We start from the raw sequence: 27,927 nt of genomic DNA, 5'->3' as shown, positions 1-27,927 counted from the left end.
TCAGGAGTTCGAGACCAGCCTGGCCAACATGATGAAACCCCATCTCTACTAAAAATACAAGAATTAGCCGGGCATGGAGGCGCGCACTTGTAGTCCCAGCTACTTGGGAGGCTGAGGCAGGAGAATCGCTTGAACCTGGGAGGCAGAGGTTGCAGTGAGCCGAGATCGCGCGACTGCACTTCAGCCTGGACGACAGAGCAAGACTCCGTCTTAAAAATAAATAAATGTTGGCTAGGATCCCTGCCATTGATTCATTCAACAAACATTCAACAAGCCCCTACTATATACCAAGCCCCATACTGTGCACCAGGAATACGGAGATGAATAGACTCTAGTCTGGTAGCAATGCGACCGCAGCTGTAAAAACTGTGTTTCTACAACTGTCTTCCCATTTGGATCTCAAGAAGGTACTGAGGGGTCTCTTCTTGCTATGGTACTAGGCTGTAATGGTTCAATGAAAAAAAAAAAACGAAAGGAATAGAGGAGTGGGGAGCTGGGGGAGTGTCCAAAGGAGGAATTTCTAGTCGAAATCAGGGAAACTCCAAAGAAATACGGCAACACGTATGTCTGAGCGACCAATAATTTAAAAGATGACCTTTATTAAGTGCTTTCTCCATAGCTATTACAAAGGTACCCGTTTTGCTTGGATTGTCTAGATTCTTCTGGCAGCGGAGTCCTGGGCACAAGCGTCCTCTCCTCTGGACCTGATCACGAAGAGAGTAGCGCCGGGCGCTCAGTTCCCGTCCCAGCTTTAGGCGAACGGAACTGCGGTTCGGCGGCCTGCGAGGGTGCCCGGAGGCTTTTCTCCAGCACTCCCGCCCTAGCAACGTGCGCCTGCTGCTAGGGGCGGAGGCGCGGGAGGGCTCGGAGGCTGTTCCCACCCCCAGGCTCCGCGTTCCCGCCGGCCCCAGCTCCAGCCCCGCAGCCCACCGGTGGGTACTGAGCCTGAGGTGGGAGAAAGGGGCATAGCGGCAGACTAGGAGCGGGCAACCCTCGCCCTTTGGTCGAAGCGGAGAGCGGTTATGAGGGCCAACCTTGGGCTGGGTGGCGCTAGGTTCCCATCTTCGGGGACTCTTCTCCCCGCTTTCCACATACACATAAAAAATAAGCTTTAGGCCGGGCGCGGTGGCTCACGCCTGGAATCCTAGCACTGTGGGAGGCCGAGGCGGGTGGATTGCCTGAGCTCAGGAGTTCGAGACCATCCTGGGCAACACAGTGAAACCCTGTCTCTACTAAAATACAAAAAATTAGCCGGGAGTGGTGCCGTGCGCCTGTAGCTACTTGGGAAGCTGAAGCAGGAGAACTGCTAGAACCCGGGAGGCGGAGGTTGCAGTGAGCCGAGATCGCGCCACTGCACTCCAGCCTGGGTGACAGAGCGAGACTCGAGACTCCGTCTCTTGAAAACAAAAACAAAAACAAATTAAGCTTTAGTTGTTCATATAATGGGCAGGGAGAGGAGCATTTGCCATCTGAAGCGACAGAAAGGAAAAACTGCACACAAGTCGTCCCCAAAATTTGAGGCAACCGTGAGAGTGGTGGCCTAGAACTGGCTCCCTGTGTGACTCTAGGCAAGACCCTCTTATTCCCTGGGCCTCGGTTTCCCCTATCTGTACCATTAGAGGGTCGAACCAGACCAGCTTCCAGGTGTTTCTACTCATACTTTTCTTTCTTTGAGCATTGTTTTGGCGACTAAAGATGCCTTGGTCTCCCAGAGTGTAAGACAGAAGTGTGCAGAGGGAGATTTGGGGAGACGGAGGGAGATAAGATATCAGCATTTGCATTAACGGGACCAGGGAAATAAGGTCCAGTCCACCCGGCTCTGCCCCTGTGACCTTCAGCAAGTCACAGCCCTCTGAGTCCCAGTTTCTTCATGGAATAGAACAGTCGGATAGGTACTGGTGTATATCAAGGAATATTGCACTGGAGAGTTAAAAGAGAATTCTCTGCTTTCTGTTTAGGGTGGTTTAGAGTGACTACTGGATATCCCAAGGCCTTTGGAAAGCAGATTGGAATAGAAAGAAGTGATGGGATTCAGACCGAGGCCTGGTTCCAACTGGAACCAACAGGGACATCCAGAGCCATAACTGAATCTGTAGATTTTCCCATGTCCTCTCCAGCCTTTCTGGGTCTGGAGCCTGGGATGAAACAGGGTGACTGCTCTCTAAGGGATATGTTGTTGGGCAGGTTAAAAGGGCGCTTATGTTGTTGGGTCCCTAAAAAGTGTACCACTGGGCCGGGCACGGTGGCTCACACCTGTAATCCCAGCATTTTGGGAGGCCAAGGTGGGCGGATCAACTGAGATCGGGAGTTCGAGACCAGCCTGACTAATATGGAGAAATCCTGTCTCTACTAAAAACACAAAATTAGCTGGGCGTGGTGGCAGGCGCCTGTAATCCCAGCTACTCAGGAAGCTGAGGCTGGAGAATCGCTTGAACCTGGGAGGTGGAGGTTGTGATGAGCTGAGATGGTGCCATTGCACTCCAGCCTGGGCAACAAGAGAGAAACTCCATCTCAGAAAAAAAAAAAAAAAATAGCGTACCACCAAGCCGACTCTTCATCTTAGTATTCCATTCACTCATTCAACAGGTATTTATTTGCCTTGCGTTCATTCTCCTAGGCTAAGGTCAAATCATAGATACAAAAATGAACCAGAAATTATACCTCCTCTCAAGTATATTACATGTTCCTAATAAAAATAGTGGAAGATAACTTAGTAGTACTTTTATTTCTTATTCTACTCATGATAAATTACAACAACGTAGATATAACCCAAATTCATATACTTTGTTCTTGAGACTTTTTAATTGCCTTGCTATGTAACATAATGAATTCTTAGCTTTATTGGGTCCAATCACTCTGATCAGAGGCCATAATTTGCTTCAGCTTTAATATCCTCTAGATTCATATATCCGTTTGTATGTGTTCTCTGTGTATATTTGTGCATTAATATTTGTGCATTATGAACAGTATTAACAAGGGTGAAAATGCTGCTTCCAGTATGATCACTGTTAATCTTGCAATCATGCTAGTAACCATAATTTATTGTTAACAACTTGCCAGATTGAACCAAAAGCTTTATATGCACCAGCTTTTGTAGAGATGCAGTATAATATGCTGGTCAAGAACAGGGCCTCTGGAGTTGGACTGCCTGGATTCAAGTTTCAGCTCTGCCACTTATTTGCAGTATAAACTTGAGCAAACTATTTGATATCTCTGTGCCTCACTTTTCACATCTGCAAAATGGCCATACAGGTTGAGTATCCCTTATCTGAAATGTTTGGGACCAGAAGTGTTTCAAATTTCAGATTTTAGAATATTTGCATTATATACTTAAGGGTTGAGCATCCCTAATGGAAAACCTGAAATCCAAAATGCTCCGATGTGGCTGGGCACGGTGGCTCATGCCTGTAATCCCAGCACTTTGGGAAGCCTAGGTGGACAGATCACTTGAAGTCAGGAGTTTGAGACCAGCCTGGCCAACATGGTGAAACCCCATCTCTACTAAAAATACAAAACTTAGCTGGGCATGGAGGCACACACCTGTAATCGCAGCTACTCAGGAGGCTGAGGCAGGAGAATTGCTTGAACCTGGGAGGTGGAGGTTGCAGTGAGCCCAGGTTGCACCACTGCACTCCAGTCTGGGCAATATAGTAAGATTCTGTCTAAAAAAAAAAAAAAAAAAAATCCAAAATGCTCCAATGAATATTTCCTTCGAATGTCATGTCAGTGCTCAAAAAGTTTTAGATTTTGGATCATTTTGGATTTTGGATTTTTGGATTAGATGCTCAACCTGTAGTAACAGTATCTCAGAGGCTTGTGGAATAGATAAAATGAGTTAATAAATATAAAACATAGAGCAGTTCCTGGTACCTTTTAAGTGCTATTTTTAATCTTCACAGAAGTCAATGATAGAGTTATTATCCTATTTTACACATAGGAAAGTGAGACTTAGAGAGGTTCAGCAACTTGCCCAAGGCCACAGTTGAGCTATAATTCACAACTAGTCCTATCTAATGCAGACACTAATGCATTTAATGAAATGTTGTTCTGACTATTCTGTGCTGCCCTTAATTCTCAGAATAAGCTGCACTGTCAATCAATATTTAGAATTTAATTGAATTCTTAAAATTGAGTTATTAAAATGCAATAAAGCTGTTTATTCTTTGTAGACATTTATAATGGAAATTCTGGACTAGAAGTCAAGAGATTTACTTAGTTATAATTTTGAGCAAATAATATTTCTATCCTTATTCTGCAGATCTTTCAATAAATGGTCTTAGTTATAATTTTGAGCAAATAATATTTCTACCCTTACTCTGCAGATCTTGAAATAAATAAATGGTTTATATATGGTGATTTTGAAAAGCTCTCCCATCTCAAATTCTAGGAGAATTATTTAAAACAGGAGAAATTGCCTTTTTCACAAAAGCAGTAAACTCTGAAATAAGCAGTCAACTCAAGATTTTTGATGAATAGAAGTACTATGTTATGAGCAAAATCAAAATGTTTAACAATGTATTTAAATATATTTTGCATATTTAAAAATAGATATATAATTAACACTATAGTATACTTTCCTGAATTGTGGAAATGTGAGAGAGATAATCTTGGAATTTTGTAAAATATTTCTTTCTTTGTGAGGGAAAACTACACCTAACCATCTCTTTAATAAACAAGGTCTTTATTTACCTTGTAAATCTCTTTTCAGTGCAAACATGCTTAGACAGAGAAGAGATTAACTTCAGTGGCTTCCCACTAATTACAGAGATTAAGAAGTGGCTGCCTGAACTATTTTCCAAAGGATACACATTACAAATTATTGAATAGGGCAGCTAACCAAGAAGATCCTATTGGTTTGGGGGTAAGTAATTCTAAAAGTTATCTTTTCCTTAGAATGTCCCATGAATATGGTTTACTTGGGAAGTATGGCTCTCTGACTATACCAATCAGTTTTGAGCAGAGCTAATCCATTTATAGCATCTGCAATTTCCAGTGACCTAGATCTATGAATGGCATCTGTCATTGGTTTGATGACAATGTTGAAAAATAGGTTAGGCTGGCAGATAAGAAGCCCTGCACCCTCTATCTGTAAACAATACCACATCCCAAACTTTTTGAAAACTATCCTGAATTTTGCCTCTCAGCACATCTTGTGGCCTCTTATAGAAAATCCTGGAATATCTGAAGTGGAAGGGACCTTAGATTTGCCACTTCACAAGTATTTTTGTTGTACAGTACTGTGCAAGCCACTTGGGGTACAAAGATGAATAACGAGAGACCTTCTCTCATTATACACATAGTCTACTAAAAATCATTTCGTATAGTGTCCTAATTTTCTAGCTGGGGAGGCTGAGGCCAGAGTGGGGAATGGAGCTACTCAAGGACACATAATGGGATGAGGCAGGGCTGGGGTAGATCCTAGGCCTCTTGATGCCACTCACATTGTTTCCATTGCATTGTGCTTTTCTGTATTGGTTACCTATTCTCGTCAGGAAGTCAATTCTAGCAACTTCTCAAAATGTAGGCTGAAATTCTTCTGGAAAACTCCATTTTTTTAATGCTAATGGTATGAATGAGAATATTAAGTTGGTGCGTTTTAGCTGCTGTTCTCTTCTGTAAACAGTTCTTCCTGTAGACAGTTCTTCCTAGAATTAGGTTGGTCATGCCCATAAGAAACTTATTTCCTAGAACTTTTAGGCAGAACCTCAGAAGAAATGGGGACTGGGTGCTCCCACTGCCCCCCATACTTCCCTCAGCTATCTGATATCACAGCCAGTCGCAGGGGACACATGACATGGAGTAGTTGAGACTGGTCCTTCGTTAGGTTCCTTCGGTCCCAGCAAATGTTCATGCTGGTCACATCTTCAGGTTTCTCTTTTTTTCAGTTTCACCAGCAACTGGTATAGGACCTACACAAATAAGGTGCTTAGGAGGTGTTCCCTGAATGAGTGGAGGAGCACCTTTGAATGCATAATTCATTCTCTTTCTTTTCAGTTCTAGCCTCGTTAGTTGAGGGGGATGATACAAGTAAATCTGGAAAATGTTTCATTATTCTTTTAATTCTAATATATAATCCAATATTAACATTATTTAAATTCTAAGTCACTGGCTCTCAAACTTTTTGGTCTCAGAACTTCTTTTCACTCCTCAAAATTAAGAACCCCCAAAGAGGTTTTGTTTATGTAGGTTATAGATTGAGTTCGAATCCTGCTCTGCTACCATCATTTGACATTAAAACTGAGATTGAATGCCACATGCAGGGTTTGTTAAATTTAAAAATAAATAAATGAGGCCAGGTGCGGTGGCTCATGCCTGTAATCCTAGCACTTTGGGAAGTCAAGGTGGGTGGATCACCTGAGGTCAGGGGTTTGAGACTAGCCTTGCCAAAAAATGGTGAAACCCTGTCTCTACTAAAAATACAAAAAAAAAAAAAAAAAAAAAAAAAGCCTGATGTAGTGGCGCATGCCTGTAGTCCCAGCTACTCTGGAGGCTGAGACAGGAGAATCGCTTGAACCCAGGAGACGGAGGTTGCAGTGGGCTGAGATCACGCCATTGCACTCCAGCCTGGGTGACAAGAGTGAAACTCCGTCTCAAAAAAATAAAATAAATAAGTAAATTAATTAATTAATTTTAAAAAACAAATTTTAAAGACATTTACTTATTAATTTTGAAATAGCAATAAACCTATTGCATATTAACATAAAACATCATTTTATGAAAAATAAATATACTTTCCAAAACCAAAATATTTAATTGGAAGAAGTGGTATTGCTTTATGTTTTTGCAAATTTCTAATGTTTGCCTTAAAAAGGAGACAATTGGACTCTGATATCTGCTTCTGCATTCAGTCTATTATAATCTATTGTTTATGTTGAGGTATTAAAAGAAAAGAAGGCCCCACTTTGGGAGGCCAAGGCACGTGGATTGCTTGAGCCCAGGAGTTGGCGAAACCCCGTCTCTACAAAAAACACAGAAAAATTAGCTGGGCATGATGGTGCAAGCCTGTAGTCCCAGCTCCCTGGGAGGCTGAAGTGGGAGGATCACCTAAGCCTAGGAGGTTGAGGGTACAGTGAGATCACACCACTGCACTCCAGCCTGGGTGATAGAGTGAGACCCTGTCTCAAAAAAAAAGAAAGGAGAAGGAGAAGGAAAAAGAAAGAAAGAAGAAGGAGAAGGAGGAGAAGGAAGAAGGAAGAAGGAGGAGAGAAAAGGAGAGGAAGGAAGGGAGGGAGGGAGCGAAGGGCCTCACTGAGAGATGTGGTTGGAAAACAGAAGTCCTCCCAAACTCCCTGAAAGGCTCTCAGGAATCCCCCATGTTCCATGGATCACACTTTAAGAACTGCTAGTCTAGGTCATTACCTACATTGTCTCATTTAGTGGCATTATTTCTAGCATCTCAGAACATCTATTTCATGATTCTGGCACACTGAGAGGTGCCATAGTGAAATTATTAAAAAAAAAAAAATCCGGCCGGGCGCGGTGGCTCACGCCTGTAATCCCAGCACTTTGGGAGGCCGAGGCGGGTGGATCATGAGGTCAGGAGATCGAGACCATCCTGGCTAACAAGGTGAAACCCCGTCTCTACTAAAAATACAAAAAATTAGCCGGGCGCGGTGGCGGGCGCCTGTAGTCCCAGCTACTGGGGAGGCTGAGGCAGGAGAATGGCGTGAACCTGGGAGGCGGAGCTTGCAGTGAGCCGAGATTGCGCCACTGCAGTCCGCAGTCCGGCCTGGGCGACAGAGCGAGACTCCGTCTCAAAAAAAAAAAAAAAAAAAAAATCCAACAACCAAGGAAGGTTATAACCTTTTAGAATAACTGAGGCTTTTCTTTTTCAAGAAGCTTCAGTAGTGTAAATTATTTTTTATTTTTGATTACATCTTCTTAGTATTTATTTTATTGTGGCAGAGTGCACATAACATAAAATTTATGATTAGTGACATTTAGTATATAGAGACATTGTTGTGCAACCATCATCACTATCTAGTTCTAGAACATTTTCATCACTCCAAAAGGAAACTCTGCCTCTTTGTTTGTTTGTGTTGCTATAAAAAAATAACTGAGGCTAAGTAGTTTATAAAGAAAAGCAGTTTATTTGGCTCATGGTTCTGCAGGCTGTATGAAAAGTGTGACGCAGGCTTCTGTTTCTGGTGAGGGCTCAGGAAGCTTCCACCGTGGCAGTAGGCAAAGGAGAGCAGGCATCCCTTGGCAAGAGAGGAAGGAACCAGGTGAGGAGGGAGGTGCCAGGCTTTTTTAAAACAATTCGTTCTTGTGGGAACTAATAGAGTGAGAACTCACTAATTACCAGGGAGATGTCACCAAGTATTCATGAGGGATCTGGTCACATGACCGAAACACCTCCAACTAAGCCCTACCTCCAACATTGGGGATCAAATTTCAACATGAGATTTGGAGGGGACACATATCCAAACTATATCTAGCCTATTAAGATACTCTGTATTACATTCTATCTGTATCTATTAAGTAGTCACTCCCCAGTCTCTTCCTTATTCCAGCTCTTGCCAACCACTAATCTGCTTTTTGTCTCTATAGATTTGCCAACTATGGATATTTCGCATACATAGAATATGAACTGTGTAGCCTTTCATGTCTGGCTTCTTTTGCTTAGCATGATGTTCTCAAGATTCACCCATGTTGTAGTATGTACGAGTACTTCATTCCTTTTAATGGCCGAGTAATATTTCATTGTGTGGATTGACCACATGATGTTTCTCCACTCATCTGTTGATGAATATTTGAGTTGTTTTCACTTTTTGGCTGCTGTGAACAGTGCTGCTGTGAACATTTGTGCACAAATTTTTGTTTGAACATCTGTTTCTGTGTTTTTGGCCTTAAACCCAGGATTAGAATGGCTGGACCGTATGGCAATTCTGTGTTTTACTTATTACAGGACTTCTTAGTCTTTTTTAAAATCAGTTTTGTTTTTGTGTGTCTGCAACCTCAGGGCTGTAAGTGTGAAGCAGGGTGAGGAGGAAAAGCAAAAGCATACAATTAATTAGTCTAAAAAAGGATTTATTTTCAACATCATACTATTGTGCCTAACAAAATTAACAACATGTATTCTTCTTTTTATTAAACAGGGAACACAACTTCCAGCAGCCACAAGGGATGCTGCTACTCAGGTGCCAACTGAAACAAGCTCCTCCACAGAAGGTTTCGTTTAGGTTTTGTGTCGTGATGGGGAAACAGCAAAGCAAACTCAAACACAGCACTTATAAATACGGGTACTGCAATCCTCCCCTGGGAGCCCAGGTTTTATCATGCCCCATTAAAACTCTCCACTGAAGAAAGAGAAGGCCCAGGGCGAATGTTGATGGCCTTCCCTGAATAGTTGGCCTTCCCTGAATAGTTTAGTGTGTTTTCTTTTGGATAAGAAACAGTCAGGGCTGGGTGTGCTGTCTCACACCTGTAATCCCAGCGCTTTGGAAGCCCGAGGGGGACAGATTGCTTGAGCTCAGTAGTTTGAGACCAGCCTTGGCAACATGGCGAAACCCCATCTCTACAAAAAATACAAAAATTAGCTGGGCATAATGGCATGAGCCTGTAGTCCCAGCTACTTGGGAGGCTGAGGTGGGAGGATTGCTTGAGCCCAGGAAGTCAAGGCTGCAGTGAGCCATGTGTGCCACTGCACTCCAGTCTGGGCAACAGAGTGAGACTCTGTCTCAAAAGAAAGAAACAGTCAAGTTTATTAGCTAGTGTCTGCACCCATACACAGAGGGGCCCTAAATCTTCAGGATTAATTGCTAGTGTGAGCAAAGAAAGACTCCTGGCTTCTTGGCTTCAGGATCCCCCTTTATCAGATTCCAGTCCTTCAGTCATTCTGCACATTTTCAGAGTAAATAATACCATTGCTGACAATGTAAATGGGTCTCCCTTCTCTTCTCCTTTTTAAATATTTCTCCTTAGTCTGGCCTGAATTGCCTTCTTAACCCACATTCTTCTCCCTACCCCACCCCACCCCACCCCCATCCACTCCCATGCCATTGGGTCTCTCATTTTCTATACTCTTTTTAGCAGGCCTGATGAAATTATAGAAGAGAGAATTCAAACTAAAGCTTTTCAAGAGTATAGCCCAGCTCACATGGATACCGTCTCTGTCGTGGCTGCTTTGAACTCAGACCTTTGTGTCTCTGGAGGGAAAGATAAGGTGGGGTTTGCAGTGTTTCCCGGGAAATGAACTTTATTGCAGGGAAAGGAAGATATTTTGAAAGGAAGTCTAGGATTTGCATTTCTGGAGCAGGGTTGACAAGTGTAAAAATATTGGCTTTAGAGTTAGAAAGACTGGATTTAAATCCCTGCTTGGCCACTTCCCATTCGTTTGGACAAGTCTTTAAATTTTTTTGAGTTTCAGTCTTATCTGTTAAGTGGGAATAATAATGCCACCTCACAGGTGGTTATTAAAGATTAAATCAAAGAACGTAGGTGAGATCTTAACACTATGCCTGACCACCCACATGCTTTCTATAAATGGCAAAGATTATACTTACCACCAATCCCATGTTACACCTACATGGAGACACAGGAGTTAATTGTCAGCAAAAGGAACTGTCTAATCTCTTCTTTTATGCTCTCTACACTGGTATGCATCATGATTCCTCCCTGTGTTTTTGTCTTCCTTCCTCCCATTCTCACATTTCTCTCCTTCATATTAGGATCTATCATAGCCCTCACAGCTGGGATACTGGTAGTACAACTGCTAATTCTTTTTGTAGTGAATAATACTAATAATGGGCCGGGTGTGGTGGCTCACACCTATAATCCCAGCACTTTGGGAGGCCAAGGCAGGCGGATCACTTGAGGACAGGAGCTAAAGACCAGCCTGGACAACATGGCGAAGCCCCATCTCTACTAAAAATACAAAAATTAGCTGGGCATGATGGCGCTTGCCTGTAATCCCAGCTACTTGGGAGGCTGAGGCTCAAGAATTGCTAGAACCTGGGAAGTGGAGGTTGCAGTAAGCCGAGATCGGGCCACTGTCCTCCAGCCTGGGTGACAGAGCAAGACTCTGTCTCAAAAAATAATAATAATAATGTCTCTCATTTTCAATAGCCTTTTAGAATCTTCAAATTCCATTTGCATACTGCATTCCACTGGTTCTAAGATGCATGTTTTCACATTTTATTTTATTTTTATTATATTATTATTATTTGAGACAGAGTTTTGCTCTTGTTGCCCAGGCTGGAGTGCAGTGGCGCCATCTCGGCTCACCACAACCTCCGCCTCCTGGGTTCAAGCGATTCTCCAGCCTCAGCTTCCCAAGTAGCTGGGATTACAGGCATGTGCCACCACACTCGGCTAATTTTGTATTTTATTTTTTTTAGTAGAGATGGGGTTTCTCCATGTTGGTCAGGCTGCTCTCGAACTCCCGACCTCAGGTGATCCGCCCGCCTCAGCCTCCCAAAGTGCTGGGATTACAGGCGTGCGCCACTGTGCCTGGCCCTGTTTTCACTTTTCACATTTTAACACTTCTGAAATCAGGATGCATCGAAGTATCATAGTTTAATTGGCAGTATTTTGTCTTAAAATCTAGGCCAGGCAGGGTGGCTCACTGCAATCTCCACCTCCCAGGTTCAAGCAATTCTCCTGTCTCAGCCTCCTTAGTAGCTGGGATTACAGGCATGTGCCACCACACCTGGCTTATTTTGTATTTTTAGTAGAGATGGGGTTTCTCCATGTTGGTCAGTCTGGTCTCAAACTCCCGACCTCAGGTGATCTGCCCGCCTTGGCCTCCCAAAGTGCTGGGATTACAGGCATGAGCCACTGCGCCCAGCTTGAAATGGTAGATTAAAAAAAAAAAAACACCACAACAAAAAAATACAGTACTATAGGGAAAACAAATCTAACCTTATGTGGAATTCTCCTTCACCATCTACAGTCAGAACCTCCAGGGGAATCAGTTCTCCTTGGGGAATGTTAGCCCAAACCCATCAGTAAGTTTAGAGCAGTGGTCCAGTGTCGGAGGGAGACAGAGAACAACCAGGAGGAAAGAAAAGAAACTCAAAGGAGGGGCACGTGAGGAGGGACGGCCACAACAGGGAACCCCGAATGCTTTGAGCAAGTTCCTGAGCAGAGAGGGAGTGAGTGAGGAGGGAGAAAGTAAGGTGAGAATGCAGTAGAGGCTAGTGTCACTTTAACAAGAATTGAGTAATGAAACTACAATCTTCACTCTCTTCAGACAGTTGTGGCCTATAATTGGAAAACTGGAAATGTGGTGAAAAGGTTCAAAGGACATGAACATGAGATCACCAAGGTAATTTTCAAATGATTATTATGAAGGCAATCTGGAACTGAATAAAGGATAGCTAATAGTTCTAGATATTAAGAGTGATTGAATCTTTGGTCTTAAGGAAAAATGCAAAGGTTTGTTTGATGCTGTGAAATCCTACTTCAGGAGAAACAGAGCAAACCATTCACTTAGTTGTTGTTACAGGCATATCGAACACAATTTTTCTTTTGTCATTAAGCCCTTAATAGCACAGGTAGTAAACAGAACACAGCTGATAACAACTCTTGACCTATCCTGACTCAACAAGTACTGTACTGAAGGCTTGGGCTTACCCTGTGCTTACCATAGCTAGGAAAGTGACAAAATCCCTGTGCTCAGCAACCTTCTAGTCTAGTTGGGGACATTTAATGAACATTCAATAACAATGAAATAAAAATTTATTTGTTAGATAGCATTACAGACCAGAGTGAGCTTCCAGCAAAAATGATAGAGAATGCCAATTTATATAATTCCCCGCTCTGAAGTCCGCCTAAATGAACCAAAAATTAAGATACACACTTCATTTATAATGAAACTAGGCATCAGCCACAATCCCATAGCACAGAATATGATATTTGCTTGCCAGATACATTGTGTTCTGAACTAGACTGATAGAGAACACCATGCTGTAATGCACTTATCCCCAGATATTTGGCAGAGTGCAGATGTCACTAAAAGAGCTGGTCCTGAATGGTCCTCCCAACAGCCCTTTATTTAGAAAGATGAGGACTAAAGATATAGATTGTTTACCAGTAAAACAAGACAATGTAACAAAATTGAGACTGCTGCCAGCTTGCTTCTCCTTCTTCTGGTCACCCTAAAATGCCGAAGGACTGGCCAGGCATGGTGGCTCATACCTGTAATCCCAGTGCTTTGGGAGGCTGAGGCAGGAGGATCATTTGAGGCCAGGAATTTTTTGTTTTGTTTTTTGAGATAGAGTCTCACTCTCCCCGTTGTGTGATCAAAGCTCACTGCAACCTCCATCTCGCAGGTTCAAGCTATTCTTCTGCCTTGGCCACCCAAGTAAGTGGGATTACAGACATGTGCCACCACACCCGGCTAATTTTTATATTTATAGTAGAGATGGGGTTTTGCTATGTTGGCCAGGCTGGTCTCCAACTCCTGACCTCAAGTGATTCGCCCGAGGCCGGGAGTTTAAAACCAGCCTGGGACATAGCAAGACCCCATCTTGACCAAAAATAAAAAAAATTAGCCAGGCATGGTGGTGAACACCTGTAGTCTCAGCTATTTAGACAAGACATAATCAGCCATCAATATTCAGGATGACAAATCAAGACATAATCAACCATCAATATTCAGCATGACAAGTCAAGTTATAGTAGACCTTGGACTAAAAGGAAAGAAAGTGAGAGAGAATTGACTGTGTGTGAGTGTGTGTGCATGCACTTGTGTGTGTGTGCACGTGTGTGTGTGTGTGTGTGTGTGCATGTAACACTTGAGCATGTATCAAGCCTTATTGGATTTACTGCCAAAAATTGGACTTATCCTCATTCAAAGATGAAAAGATTAATAAGCAGAAAGGATCCAAAGTGAGGCCTATATGCCTAGATTTTTTTAAATATACATATAACAAGCTAATGTCAGATGAAAATACACTTTGAAGGAAGAACTACTCAAGAAGCAAAGATAAAATTTGATTAATGCTTTTTACTCTCTATAAATTAAGAGAACATGTACTCTATGAAACAAGAAATTGAAAAAATAAGACAAGCCAGGTGCAGTGGCTCATGCCTGTAATGCTGGCACTTTGGCAAGGCAAGGCAGGAGGATTGCTTGAGCCCAAGAATTTGAGACCAGCCTGGGCAACATAATGAGACCCCATCTCCACAAAAAATTAAAAAATTAGTTGGATGTAGTTGTGCGCACCTATAGTCCCAGCTACTCAGGAAGCTGATGTGGAAGGATCACTTGAGTCCATGAGGTTGAAGCCATAGTGAGCTGTGATGATTTCACTGCATCCAGCCTTGGCGACAGAGCAAGATCTTAGTCTCAAAAAAAAAAGTAAGACAATAGAAGAATTATCTGGGAGAGAAAATATTTGAGGAAAAAATATTATTAAAAAGTAAAAATTGGCCAGGCAGGGTAGCTCATTCCTAAAATCCCAACACTTTGGGAAGCTGAGGTAGGAGGATTGCTTGAGCTCAGGAGTTCAAGACCAGCCTGGGCAACATAGCAAGACCTGTCTCTACTATAAATAAAAATACAAATATATTCGGTGGTCATAGTGGTGCATACCTATAGTCAAAGCTACTTGGGAGGCTAAGGCAAGAGGATCGTTTAAGCCAGGGAGATGGAGGCTGCAGTGAGCTATAGTTGTGCCATTGCACCCCAGCCTGGGTGACATAGCGAGACCCAGTCAGAAAGAAAGAAAGAAGGAGGGAGGAAAGAGAGAGAGAGAGAAAGAAGAGAGAAAAAGAAAAAGAAAGAAAGAAGGACGGAAAGAAGGAAAGAAAGAAAAGAAAGAGAAAGAAAGAAAGGAAAGGAAAGGAAGAAAGAAAAAGAATCTGTATGTGCGGAGAGTGTTGTTCATGTGTAAAGGCAATGGGAAGACATTCTTAAATTTGTAAAATCTTGCCATATGCAAAGCATTCCTCAATAATATAGTTGAAGGTATATTATTAAAGAATGTGAATGGGCCGGGTGCGGTGGCTCACGCCTGTAATCCCAGCATTTTGGGAGGCCAAGGCGGGCAGATCACCTGAGGTCAGGAATTCAAGACCAGCCTGACCAACATGGAGAAACCCCGTCTCTACTAAAAATAAAAAATTAGCCAGGTGTGGTGGCGCATGCCTGTAAACCCAGCTACTCGAGAGGCTGAGGCAGGAGAATCACTTGAACCCAGGAGGCAGAGGTTGTGGTGAGCTGAGATCACACCATTGCACTCCAGCCTGGGCAACAAGAGGGAAACTCCATCTCAAAAAATAAAAAATAAAAAATAAAGAATGTGAATGAATGATGAATAATAAAGCCAATGAATATTAAAGAAGTTCCAAACTGAATTCACTGTATGAGCCTTCAATCCAATTAAACACAGAATTATGTCTAAAGAATTGTCAAAACGAGGGCTATGAGAAGAAATGTAATTGTTTTAATTCTTTTAAAAATTTATATGTATAAAATACAAAATATTAATAATATGATAATAGACTAGATAAAAATCCAAGAGAGTACTTACAAAAGTGGGAACGAGCCAGAAGTAATATAATTGTGCTAATTAAAGAAAAAAAAAATTTTCCTTACAGGAGATTCTGTTTTCTTTCTGAAATTAATACATTGAGAATATGAGTTTAAGGATATTAATACATATACAGAGGTATCATGAGAAGAACTTAAGTTCCATATTATTTAAATTAAAAATATAAAGGGAAAAATAACTCTAAAAACAAATATACAATTTTATAGAAAAAGAAGACAATGAAAATATGACAAAGTGTTTTTCAAAAACCAACAGAAAAGATGGAAGGAACAAGATCAAACATATATATGATAGCAGTAAATGTAATTGGGATAAATTCACTTATTGAAAGGCAGTACTCTTACTGAGTTAAAAACTAAAGCCACCTGTACATTGTTTAAAAGAGACATATCTAGGCTGGGCACGATGGCTCATGCCTGTAATCCCAGCAGTTTAGGAGGCCAAGGCGGGTGGATCACTTGAGGTCAGGAGTTCAAGACCAGCCTGGCCAACATGGCAAAACTCCATGTCTACTAAAAATTAAAAAAAAAAAAGAATTAGCCAGGCATGGTGGCACACACCTGTAATCCCAGCTATGCAGGAGGCTGAGACAGGAGAATCGCTTGAACCTGGGAGGCAGAGGTTGCAGTGAGCAGAGATCACACCATTGCACTCCAGCCTGGGCGACAGAGTGAGACTGTGTCTCAATAAATAAATAAAAAATAAGACATATCTAATGCAAAACAGCTTTAAGATTGAAAGTAAAACAGTTAGTAAATATAGAACAGATATTTGTACACACACACACACACACACACACACACACACACACACACACACATATATATATATAGCAGCATTGTTTATAATAGCCAAAAGCTGGAAACAACCCAAATGTCCTTTGACAGATTCATGGATAAACAAAATGCGGTAATATACATACAGTGGGCTATTTTTCAGCCTTAAAAAGGAATGAAATAGGCCAAGCACAGTGGCTCGTGCTTGTAAACCCAGCATTGTGGGAGGCCCAGGCAGGTAGATCACTTGAGCCCGGGAGTTCGAGGCCAGCCTGAGCAACATGGCAAAACCCTGTCTCTACAGAAAATACAAAAATTAGTCAGGTATGGTGGCGCACACTTATAGTCCCAGCTATTCAGGAGGCTGAGGCAAGTGGATTGCTTGAGCCCGGGAAGGGAAGGTTGCAGTGAACCGAGACCAGGTCCCTGCACTGCAGTCTGGGTGACAGAGCAAGACCCTGTCTCAAAAAAAAAAAAAAAAAAGGAATGAAATTCTGATACATGTTACAACATGGCTGAACCCTGAAAACATTATGCTAAGTAAGAGCCGGACACAAAAGGACAAATATGGTATGATTCTGCTTATTTGAGGTACCTAGAATAGTCAAGTCCATAGAGACAGAAAGTAGAATAATGGTGGGTGCCAGCGGCTGCGGGGAGAGGAAAATGGAGAGTAATTGTTTAAAGGTTGTAGAGTTTCAGTTTGGGATGATGAAAAAGTTCTAGAGATGATAGTGGTGATGGTTACACAACAATGAATGTACTTGTTGCCACTGAGTTGTACACTTAAAAATGGTTAAAATGGTAAGTTTTATGTATATTTACCACAATTCCAAAAAAAAAGAAACACGATGGAAGAGATCAGAACAGGAAGAGTAGGTCAGCAAAGATATATCAGGCAAATGTAAACAAACAGAGCAGGAGTTGGGATGATAATAATATCAAGCAAAGTTGTATTCAAGGTAAAAAGCATAAAATGGAACAGAGATTCACTTCAAATTCTTCGTAAGTATAACAGAATCACCTGTCATAACAGTACAGCATCCATTTTTGGGGTGTGGTGATGATCAAGTGCAAAAGGAATCCCACAGGAGGAAGTTCTATAGGAAGCCCAAGAGGGGATACATCCTCACCAAGGTGACATGATCTGAGGAGGTGAGATTTTTAACCTTACCCTGAAGGACAGGAGGAAATCTGCTACATAAAGGAAAGGTAGCACAACATTGATAAAGGTGGAAATTCAGACTGGCCCATGCTGTGCATTCATAGATTTCAAGCTTAGGTATTACTCTTTTGAGAAGTGTGTGTGGGGGCCGGGCACAGTGGCTCATGCCTGTAATCCCAGTACTTTGGGAGGCCGAGGTGGGTGGCTCACCTGAGGTCACGAGTTGGAGACCAGCCTGGCCAACATGGTGAAACCCTGTCTCTACTAAAAATGCAAAAATTAGCTGGGCGTGGTGGCTGGTGCCTGTAATCCCAGCCACCCGGGAGGCTGAGGCAGGAGAATCGCTTGAACCCAGGAGGTGGAGGTTGCAGTGAGCTGAGATCACACCACTGCCCTCCAGCCTGGGTGACAAAGTGAGACTCCGTCTCAAAAAAAAAGAAAAGAAGTGTGTGTGGGGAGGGAGTTATGCAGACTCATCTTTCCCCCAATTTAAAGTCCAGTCCAACTAGCATACCAGAGCTATTTCAGTGTTGTTGTTTTTTCCCTGAGCAGGTAGCCTGTATTCCCAAATCCAGCCAGTTCTTCAGTGCCTCTCGTGACAGGATGGTCATGATGTGGGACTTGCACGGTTCCTCACAACCAAGGCAGCAATTGTGTGGCCATGCCATGGTGGTCACCGGATTGGCTGTGAGTCCAGGTAAAACAAAGCGGACCTCTTCCCAATGCCTTTGTGCTTTCTGAAAAGCCCCGTTCAGGTCCCCACTCACAGGCTGTCTTCTCACCATTGTTTCCAAAGACTCATCACAGCTGTGCACTGGCTCTCGGGACAACACCCTGCTTCTGTGGGATGTGGTGACAGGACAGAGTGTGGAAAGAGCATCTGTCTCCAGGAACGTGGTATGAACTCAAACTTGGTACAGAACAGGGCAGCAGAAAGGAGCATGGGGTGAAGGAAAGGCTCGGGAGATAAATCAGGAGGCCCATGAGCAGAAATTAGAGCCTGGGTCCCAATTGCTGTCCCCTAACCTGCTGTGAGACCCTGGCCTCTCAGGGTTATTAGATTAGATGTTCCCTTGAGTCTTCTGCTCCAGACAATGATTTTACTCACTTATATTGGAATTTAAAATGGTGTCTTCATTATTTCTTTCATTATTCTGTTTCTTCTGTGGGCCAGACACTGTGCTAGGAACAGGGTTAGTGACCAAGAACATAGTTCCTGTCTTCCAGGACCTCACAGCTTATGCTTATTGTATGTTCATATGTGTAACATCATGTGGAGAAATAAGCATTACCTTTTGCTTTATGTAGAATTTGCATTGCTTTTGAAGGACCAGTTGTTTTCTAGTAGCAGACTGGTATAAATTGGAGAGCCTTTGGAGTCAGTTATACTCAGGTTAAAATCATGGATCTATTACTTACCAGTTATGTTATCTCAAGGAAGTTACTTAAGCTCTTAGAGTGTCTGTGTCTTCATTTATAAAATGGGGAGAATTCTATCACCTGCTAAGGTTCTTCAGAGGATGAATTCAGATACTAGATGTGAAATACCTGACATTGTGTCTGACCCATACTAGATGTTCTTTTAGTGGTTGTCAAATTTCAGTCCCAGTCATCTTTTCTAATTTTGAAGATGACTGCCAATGGTCAGATATGCTTGCCCCATGCCCTCTATATTGGTGGAGGTTACTGGAAGAAAAGAAAATCCTGTTATTTCGGGTTATTTTGGAAACTATTTTATGCCTATCCAGCAGGGACCTGCAGGGATAAAGAGAAACATGAATGCTCTTCCTGATCCCCATGAGGTGTTGGGGCTAGAGTTTCAGTGAACCCACCTTACAACAGGAGCTGTTCTATCTGCCACACAGCTGGGGTTTCAGGCACTCTTAGGGTGCCTGCATGTATTTTGGTGCTCACAACTGGCCCAGCTGTTATCTTGCTGCTGATAACCTAGGAGATGCAGGTAGAGCATGACTGATAGGTATCTGCAAAACCTAAGATGCCTGTAAATGAATTTGCTAGTTCAGAATCCTTGAGAAGAGGCACAGTGATGCTAGTTAGCACATTTGACAGGAATTACAGCAGAGGAATGACTTGGTGTGGAGAAGTTCTGAACATTTTGCTTTTTCTAGGTCACTCACCTGTGCTGGGTCCCCAGAGAACCATACATACTACAGACCTCTGAAGATAAAACCCTCAGGTGGGCTTACTGAGCAGCTGTGAAAGTGTTTCTTGTGAGGTTTGTGGCTCCCATGCATACATGGCTCCATTCCCACTCTGATTCTCCACATTGCTCTGCCCTTCCCAGAGCCTTCTGTTCCTCTGCCCTTCACTGGTGCTGGGGCCTCTCTGCTTTGGCCCCATGGATCATTAAGGTAGAGGTTGTGTGTCATGAGATCAGGCCAAGTAAAAGCCCCTGTTTTGGATGGTTCCAAAGCATCTGATTCAGCCAGCTCCTGCTGTGTGAAGGTGTTCAGATTAACCCCAGAATCAGTCACTTGCTTGTCCCACCCTGTTGGGCTGCCTGGCTCTCCTTGCTACCCCTGCATGGCTCCTGGTGTTCTCAGTCACCCAGCCTTCAGCTGAAGCCCTCCCTGGGGAAGCAGGGTTGAAATCAGCATCAGGGGAGTCAGTAAAGCCAATAGTTCTTAGACCGGAGAGGATAACTAGAAACTTTGGATCTCAGAAGAGATTCTCCTTAGAAAATGGTAGGAATGGGGTAAAGAGGTAAAAATGAAATAAGAAGCAAAACAAAACACTCCCCAGTGGACCCCATAGCCAAGGCTGGCCATGACCTGTATGTAAATCTTTTGTAACTAATTCTGAATGATGACTGATTTCCCATATCATAATAAGTATCTTTTTAAAAATTTAAGTCACAGGCACAGAAATATCCTTTTGTCCACGGAAAGCAGTGTCTCAAAGGACCAAATTAACAAATTAACTTGTACAATTAAGATGCTTGGTCTCAATTTCTATTAACTGATCTCAAAATAGAAAGAACTCAGATGTCATTCAATTTGGTTACTTCCTGCCAACTTTAGAGTCTCAGAGATTGATCTGGTTCATGCTGCCGTTTTTAGGTAAATCATGCCATTCCAATCTGACTGGCCTATGCAGCAAAGAGCCAAGACTTTTTTGGTAGTGGGACAATACGGGTGTATTTCAGCCACATTTACTACAAGCTAATTTCCTGCCCTAATCTCTTTCAGATTATGGGACAGTCGGGGGCTGCAGGTAGCTCATATGTTTCCTGCAAAGCAGCACATTCAGACCTACTGTGAAGTCAGTGTGGATGGACACAAGTGTATCTCCTGCAGCAATGGCTTTGGAGGAGAAGGCTGTGAAGCCACGGTAGGAGACTGTGTGAGGTCCAGGTATCTGGTTGCTGATGAACAGATCACTTACTCTGGCCTCATGCCTGTAGCTGTGCTACACAGGCGGGCTTTGCTAATGGCTCAGGCCTCTTTCAAAAGCATACTGTGAGTGATCCTTTGCATTCCAGTTGCTTCATTTAAGAAACATTCATAGGGGAGGCCAAGGCGGGAGGATTAATTGAGCCCAGGAGTTTGAGACTAGCTTGGGCAACAGAGCAAGACCCTGTCTCTATAAAAAAATAAAAAGTTAGCTGGGCATGGTGGCATGTGCCTGTAGTCCAAGCTATTCAGAGGCTGAGGTGGGAGGATCAACTGAGCCTAGGAGTTTGAGGCCAGCCTGGGCAACAAGGGAGACCCCATCTCAAAAAAATAAAGAAAGAAAATAAAAGAAACATTCATCAACTTAGGGCTCTCTGAATTGGTAGTAGGAAAGAGGAATGGGATGAGAGTCAAGATGGGGAGGAGCTAAACACAGAACCAGCCTGCTGATGTCTCTACTCCCAGCAGAGCTTAGAGAGGGGAGGGACTGTTTGAAGAACCAGATTTATTCCCATTATAGGCGTGGCCACAGTAAAAGAAGCTCAAGCTTTTTAGGAAATTTGGAGCTCTAGTGTTGGTCCAGGGCCTACTCCATCCCTTACTCATGTACCTTCCTTACATTTAATTTTGGAATAGATTGCCTAGGCTCCTCCAAAGCACCTTAGATTCATAATTGTAGAATATCCATTAAAAGGGTTATCTAGTATTCAAACAGAACAATTATGCCTCCTATTTTATTGAACATTTCTTGTGTGCTGGGCACTGGGATGAGCACATTACATGTAATATCTCATTTAATCCTTAAAAACAACCCCATGAGTTAGGTACTATTATAATTCCCATTTCACAGACAAGGAAATAGAGGCATGGCAAGTTGACATCTCTTGCACAAGACCACATCCCTAGTAAATGGTAGATTGGGGTGTTGCAGCCTTTGAATGTAGCATCTCTTTTCTAAGTGAAACATTTCCAGCTCCTACAGCTATTCCCTGGATAACATGCTGTCCAATAACTTCATTATCTTTTTGGACATAATTCAATTTGCTCTCCTCCCTGAACATTATTCTCCAGCTGTGATCTGATCTGTATCAATGAGAGTGGGACTGGCAGCACTGACTGGCACTTCCCTCTTGTAGACGCTAGTCTTCACACATCAAGGTTCAGCATCTAGGCATTAAATCAGAATGTCTGCACCTAGATGTACTTATATCTATGGGGTACTTCTAACTACGGGGTCCCCACAGGGCCCACAGATGCCAAGAGGTTGAAATAAGGCAGCTCTTGAGTTGCCATGAAAGCAAACAACCCCATACTGTTGTTTGGGGCTCCCCATGGGTTCCCCATGATGGAACACCATCATGCTGTAGGACTGGGAGCTTTTACTTCCCTAACCACTAAAAAGGCAAAAACTCATATGACACATTCTTAACCAGGGTTGTTTGAGACATAGTTGAGGCTTAAAATAATCACTGGATGGATGGGTCATTGGGTCTGTGGATGGATGGGTTGTTGGGTCTGTGGATGGATGAAGATAAGGGGTAGCTACGTGAGCAGGTAAGTGGAGGGAATAGGTGCATCATGGGGGTAGGGGGAGATAGATATTCATGGATGAAGCTAGACAAGTGACTATGAGCTGGTCCATGTCATTACTTTGCAGTTGTGGGACCTAAGACAGACTCGAAACAGAATATGTGAGTATAAGGGGCATTTCCAGACTGTCGCATCCTGCGTCTTTCTACCAAGAGCATTGGCCTTGATGCCTTTAATTGCTACCTCATCACATGATTGCAAGGTGAAGATTTGGAACCAAGATACTGGAGGTAAGCAGCCTGCTGTTAGTTCTCCTCAAAAGATACATGAAGTCCTAAAACCTTCTTTAAAACTCCTTCTTCCCATTGCTCAGCATTACAAAGCCACCCATCTTCTGCCACTGTCCAGTCTCATGCTTAAGAGGTGATGTCAAGATGCTATCCCCTGTATCCCCTGGTACCATGTTGTATAGACTCATTCCTGAGAACTCACGTAGATTTGGCTCTTACATTCTTTCTACCTGAAGTTCTTCATCAGATTCTAACTTGTGACACTCAAAATATTTGGAAAAGAGAACAAGAATTGTGACTTTTCAAGTCTTCTTTCAAGGACTAAAATGAAAGCCCCAGCTCTTGGTGAGGGTAAGGGGGAGTAAGGATACTTTCAGAAAGTCTCTGCCCTGTTTTGATTCTGTAGCTGAAGTTTAAGAACACAGTAAGCTCATAACATTTCAAAGCATCAGAGAAAAAAGATGTCTTATGCAACCCAGCTCCCCAGAGTCCTGGATCTGCTGGATGGAGCCAGCCCCTGCTGGCCGATTGTTAAATATTCAGGATTTTTTGTGAACTGGTTTTTAAACCTTTGGTAGCCTGAAATCTGATCATGATGGAGGTATTTACATGATGAAAATTAACAAGTGCTATGAATCGGTGGTGGTGGTGTTTTCTCTTCCAGAAAGCTGGTTTACCAGCACCCCACTGCCTCCATCTATTCTGTCCTGGACACAGGGTTCTGCCACAGACAGAAACAGCATTGCCTTAAAGAACTTTAAACCAAATCTGTCCTACAACAGTCTTCTAGAACTCAGCTCCTCTCAAGGGAGACAGGGTAGTTCCCTCAGAGAATAGAGGCAGGACCATGTCTTGTGGGCATTCTGCAAACAGCTGTGGCCACAAGCCAAACTTCCATAGTAAGGACAGCCTGCTGTACTGTTACCTGGAGTGGCTTCTCCAGCCACTCAGGTGTAACTGTTGCTTGAGGAAAAAGAGCAGATGTTTTAGACTTAATGATCATAAATCTGACCAGGGAGAACGAGATCTGGAAATGTTGACCTGACCAAGTGGCACAGATTCCCTGCCCACCAGGTATGCGCCTGTAGTTTTTAGAAGAGTGGCCTCTAAGATGCAGATGGAGGGAGATGGGTCAGCTGAAACCCCCAAAGACTGCCTTTCGGGCTCTCCCATTATCCTCCATCTCCAAGGCATCAAGACCCCAGGAAGCCAGCAGCTAAAGATCAGTATCCTTGTGTGTTTTTCCCTGCCTGGGCCCTGCTTTATTCTCTGGGCAGGTGACTGAGGGCACCTTTGTAACATGTCTTTAGCCGGTGAGACCCCGACACTTCTTGGTGATGGTATGCATCCTGTTTGGCCCGTGTGCCATTCTCTACCATTGAAGTCATGGAGTTGGCCCAAGTTCTGACCTCCCTGGTATGCTTTCCTCTGAAGAAGTGGGGTCTCTCTCATACGGGTTAGATATGTACAGCAAATGCTTTATTTCCTTGCATTTCTCATGAAGACATCACATTTCATGATGCTACACTCTTGGCCTAATCTGCTGGTCCCCCTTTCCCCCCCAGCCTGCCTTTTCACCTTGTCTCTGGATGGATCAGGACCCTTGACTTCTCTGGCTGTTGGTGACGCCATCTCCTTATTGTGTGCAAGTTTTAACAGAGGAATTCACTTACTCAGAATGGACCACAGCCAAGGGCTGGAACTGCAGGAAGTGGCAGCATTCTGAGGCCAAGAGACACTCACTGGACAATATCAAACCATGGCTCCTCCTCAGCATGGCTTTGTGTCTTTCCCAGTTATCTTGAGGGGAGTGGGATGTAGGGCTGGTATTCTTTGCTTAGGTTCATTTACAAGATGTATCAGTGTTGTAAGTCCAATAATTTAAGTCCAGTGATTCAAAATCAGGTATAGAGTCCAGAAACATGGACTACACATAAGGTTCTCTATTTAAGTTAAATACAAATGCAACTTTTTAGTGAGCTTTTAGGACTACTCTTCAAAAAAAGTGTATTGCTCAGAATGATGACCTGTAAATGTAAGAGTGGCAGGCCTCTGTCTGTGAAAGTCAGAACACAGGGCTCGAGCCTCTGGAACTGACCCTTTGCAAGTCTTTACAAAAGAAAAAAGGCAGTGGGGAGAGAGAGTGTTTTGGTTACATCAGAAATAATTGAGATGGGAAAGAATAGTGCAGCTCCATAGAGGAGACGGACTGTAGACAATGAGATTAAGCTTCAATCACTGCTCCTCAGCAATGTGAAGAATCAAAGTCAGGGCAAGAAAGCGAAAGCTTGGACTTCTATTCAAAGTGGCAGCAGAGTGGGAGGGCGGTACCCTTCTAGCCCAGTGCTGCTGAGCTTGTGTGAAAATCAGACCTGAGATGGCTTGAAGCAGCCAAGAACCACATGGGCATTGCCCAGAATTACAGGAGTTAGCACACCAGCTCTACAGATAAGAAAACATTGAAATTCAAAGATTAAGGCCAAAAATATCTCACTTGCAATTTTAATATTTTCATTTGGATTTATATAAATGAAACATATATATGTTTTGGAATGGCCAGAGTGAGGCAAAGGGGATCCCTGAAATAACATTAGAACATACAGGAAAAACGAGGCAGGCAGATCACTTTAGGTCAGGAGTTCAAGACCAGCCTGTACGTGCGTGCCTGTAGTCCCAGCTACTCGGGAGGCTGAGATGGGAGAATCACTTGAACCTGGGAGGCAGAGTTTGCAGTGAGCTGAGATTGTGCCACTGCACTCCAGTCTGTGTGACAGAATGAGACCTTGTCTTGAAAAAAAAAAAAACAAAAAACCACATACAGGAAAAAAGAGAGGGATGGAGTCAACTGTGCCCCAGACATTAAGCCCCCTTCAGTGAGGAGGGGCAAGGTGCTCAGGCCTGCCTGTGTGGCCCCCAGGAGTCAGACCTCAGCCTCATGCTCACTGGTCCATTTTCCTCCAGGGAAAATGGAGTTCTTTCTGCCTTCAGAGATGCCCACACATAAGGCACATGAGGCTGTTGGTGACACCATCACCAACACTGGAGATTCCCTTTCTGACAAGTCCCAGCCAAAGAAAGATTTTGCATTTGTCTTCTCTGTCCTCTGCTTGTCTCTGATACCAGTGACTGACAGCCACCTTCCTTCTTCCCTCTCTTGGTGTGATCATGGCTAACTGCAGCCTCAATCACCAGGGCTCAATCAATCCTCCCTCCTTAGCCTCCTGAGTAGCTGGGACTGCAGGCATGCACCACCACACCTGGCTAATTTTTTGTGTGTTTGTGTGGTCTAAAACTCCTGGGCTCAAGTGATCCATCTGCCTCGGCCTCCTTAAGTGTTGAGATTACAGGTATGAGCCACCACATCCAGCTGAGAGTCTGTTCTTAAGCTAGTACAAAGAGTCAGACCCGACTTTGAATCTCCACTTCTCCATTTAGCTGGATGATCTTGGGCAAGTTATAAAATCTGTTTCCTCTTCACTTTATAACGTGGGTTTCATGATCATACCTCGCCACAGGGCTGTTCTGAAGACTGGACATAGCTATTTTAAATGCCAGGAAAGGCCAGGCGCAGTGGCTCAAACCTGTAATCCCAGCACTTTGGGAGGCCGAGGCAGGAGGATCACCTGAGGTCAGGAGTTTGAGACCAGCCTGACCAACATGGAGAAACCCCGTCTCTACTAAAAATACAAAAATTAGCCAGGCGTGGTGGTGCATGCCTGTAATCCCAGCTACCTGGGGAGCCTGAGGCGGGAGAATCGCTTGAACCCAGGAGGCGGAGGTTGCGGTGAGCCGAGATTGTGCCATTGCACTCCAGCCTGGGCAACAAGAGCGAAACTCCATCTCAATAAATAAATAAATAAGTAAATGCCAGGAAAGGTGGTGACAAATGGTAGCCATAATTATTTATTGTCCTCTCTGTCCAGACTAAATGTTCCCTTTTCCATATTAAACATTTACCATTCTGCCGGACGCGTTGGCTCATGCCTGTAATCCCAGCACTTTGTGAGGCCTAGGCGGGCAGATCACAAGGTCAAGAGATCGAGACCATCCTGGCCAATATGGTGAAACCCCGTCTCTACTAAAAATACAAAAATTAGCTGGGTGTGGTGGTGCCCGCCTGTAGTCCCAGCTACTCAGGAGGCTGAGGCAGGAGAATCGCTTCAACCGGGGAGGCAGAGGTTGCAGTGAGCTGAGATTGTGCCATTGCACTCCAGCCTAGGCAACAGAGAGAGACTCTATCTCAAAATAAAATAAAATAAAATAAAATAAAATAAACGTTTACCATTCCTTGATCCTTTTTTTTTTTTTTTTTTTTGAGATGGAATCTTGCTCTGTCGCCCAGGCTGGAGTGCAGTGGTGCAATCTCGGCTCGCTGCAAGCTCCGCCTCCCGGGTTGACGCCATTCTCCTGCCTCAGCCTCCCGAATAGCTGGGACTACAGGCGCCCGCCATCACGCCCGGCTAATTTTTTTGTGTTTTTAGTAGAGACGGGATTTCACCGTGTTAGCCAGGATGGTCTCAATCTCCTGACCTCGTGATCCGCCCGCCTAAGTGCTGGGATTACAGGCGTGAGCCACTGCGCCCGGCCTCCTTCATCCATTCTTAGATCTTATCCTCTAAACCTTTAGTCATCGTTTCACTCTCCTTTGATTCCTTGTTATGGGTCTTTCAACTCTGGAAAGACAAAGAGATAGTGGGAGAGGAAGCCCGGTCACTGAGCATCTACAGAGGGCTAAATATATTTATTCTCATTTGTTATTCCCAATATTCTCTGTATTGTGATTTCCATTTCACAGATGAGGAAGCTGAGGGCTAGAAACATGCAGTACTTTGCCCAAAGTCACACACATATTAAGAAGAGCTGAGGTATGAATCTGGGTCTGCCTGACTCAAAGCCCAAACGCTTTCCTTTGCATCGTGTCACAAAGTCATAGACCATGACATTGTTTGTATCTTCAAGACCAGTTATTAACTTTCTGGCTCCAAGGAGATCCCCTGCCCAAGTGCCTAGGGGCAGTAGACAGCTGTCTCAGGGACAGTCGTAGCATGTGCTGGATTATTAGTGCAGCAGCTGACACTTTTTCCCAGAAGGGAGAGAGGCAGCAAGTCAGAAAGTTCACGGGAATGAGTTGGGAGGGGGTCCCAGGGAAGGGGGACAGGCTGCCAGGAGAAGGAAAGTACACGGGAGAAAATAGTGGGGCTCTGATGAGTTAGTAGGGTTCTGTTACCAATAAAATTGTTTCCATAAACTGTA

At 43.6% G+C, this 27,927-nt stretch overlaps 1 protein-coding gene across 10 annotated transcripts, besides 1 other annotated feature; it reads left to right on the top strand.

The window, feature by feature from the left end:
- Positions 865-1,104: a silencer, noted in NCBI's record as "silent region_20198". NCBI's record gives its function as "represses an Ori minimal core promoter by ATAC-STARR-seq in GM12878 lymphoblastoid cells {active_cell/tissue: GM12878}" and the evidence as "EXISTENCE:reporter gene assay evidence [ECO:0000049][PMID:35858748]".
- WDR31 (WD repeat domain 31) lies at positions 874-27,927 on the top strand. Of its 10 annotated transcripts, none has more exons than NR_134677.2 (11): positions 874-932; positions 4,709-4,861; positions 9,099-9,171; positions 10,033-10,165; positions 12,194-12,268; positions 17,994-18,138; positions 18,238-18,338; positions 19,571-19,677; positions 20,651-20,792; positions 22,512-22,674; positions 24,240-27,927. NR_134677.2 is itself a non-coding variant. In NM_145241.5 (11 exons), the coding sequence occupies exons 3-11, from the start codon at positions 9,127-9,129 to the stop codon at positions 24,398-24,400; spliced, it is 1,101 nt and encodes a 366-aa protein (NP_660284.1). In that variant the 5' UTR covers positions 874-932; positions 4,709-4,861; positions 9,099-9,126; the 3' UTR covers positions 24,401-27,927. The 10 variants fall into 10 exon arrangements, 9 of the variants coding, with proteins under 9 accessions (NP_660284.1, NP_001012361.1, XP_047278669.1 ...); NM_145241.5 differs by having other exon boundaries at positions 9,099-9,242; positions 10,036-10,165; positions 19,571-19,638; NM_001012361.4 differs by having other exon boundaries at positions 9,099-9,242; positions 19,571-19,638.

The sequence above is a fragment of the Homo sapiens genome, chromosome 9, assembly GCF_000001405.40.
Source record: "Homo sapiens chromosome 9, GRCh38.p14 Primary Assembly".
Classification (NCBI taxonomy): Eukaryota; Metazoa; Chordata; class Mammalia; order Primates; family Hominidae; genus Homo; species Homo sapiens.
The sequence above is the reverse complement of the archived record's forward strand: the minus strand, read 5'-3'. Positions and strand labels throughout refer to the sequence as shown.

Bases quoted from the DNA above. Each gene is read 5' to 3' on its own strand.
- WDR31 (NM_001012361.4), top strand. From the start codon at position 9,127: ATGCTGCTACTCAGGTGCCAACTGAAACAAGCTCCTCCACAGAAGGTT. The intron at 12,269-17,993 runs GTAATTTTCAAA...TTCCCTGAGCAG, and splicing joins ATGAACATGAGATCACCAAG to GTAGCCTGTATTCCCAAATC. The intron at 18,339-19,570 runs GTATGAACTCAA...TGCTTTTTCTAG, and splicing joins CATCTGTCTCCAGGAACGTG to GTCACTCACCTGTGCTGGGT.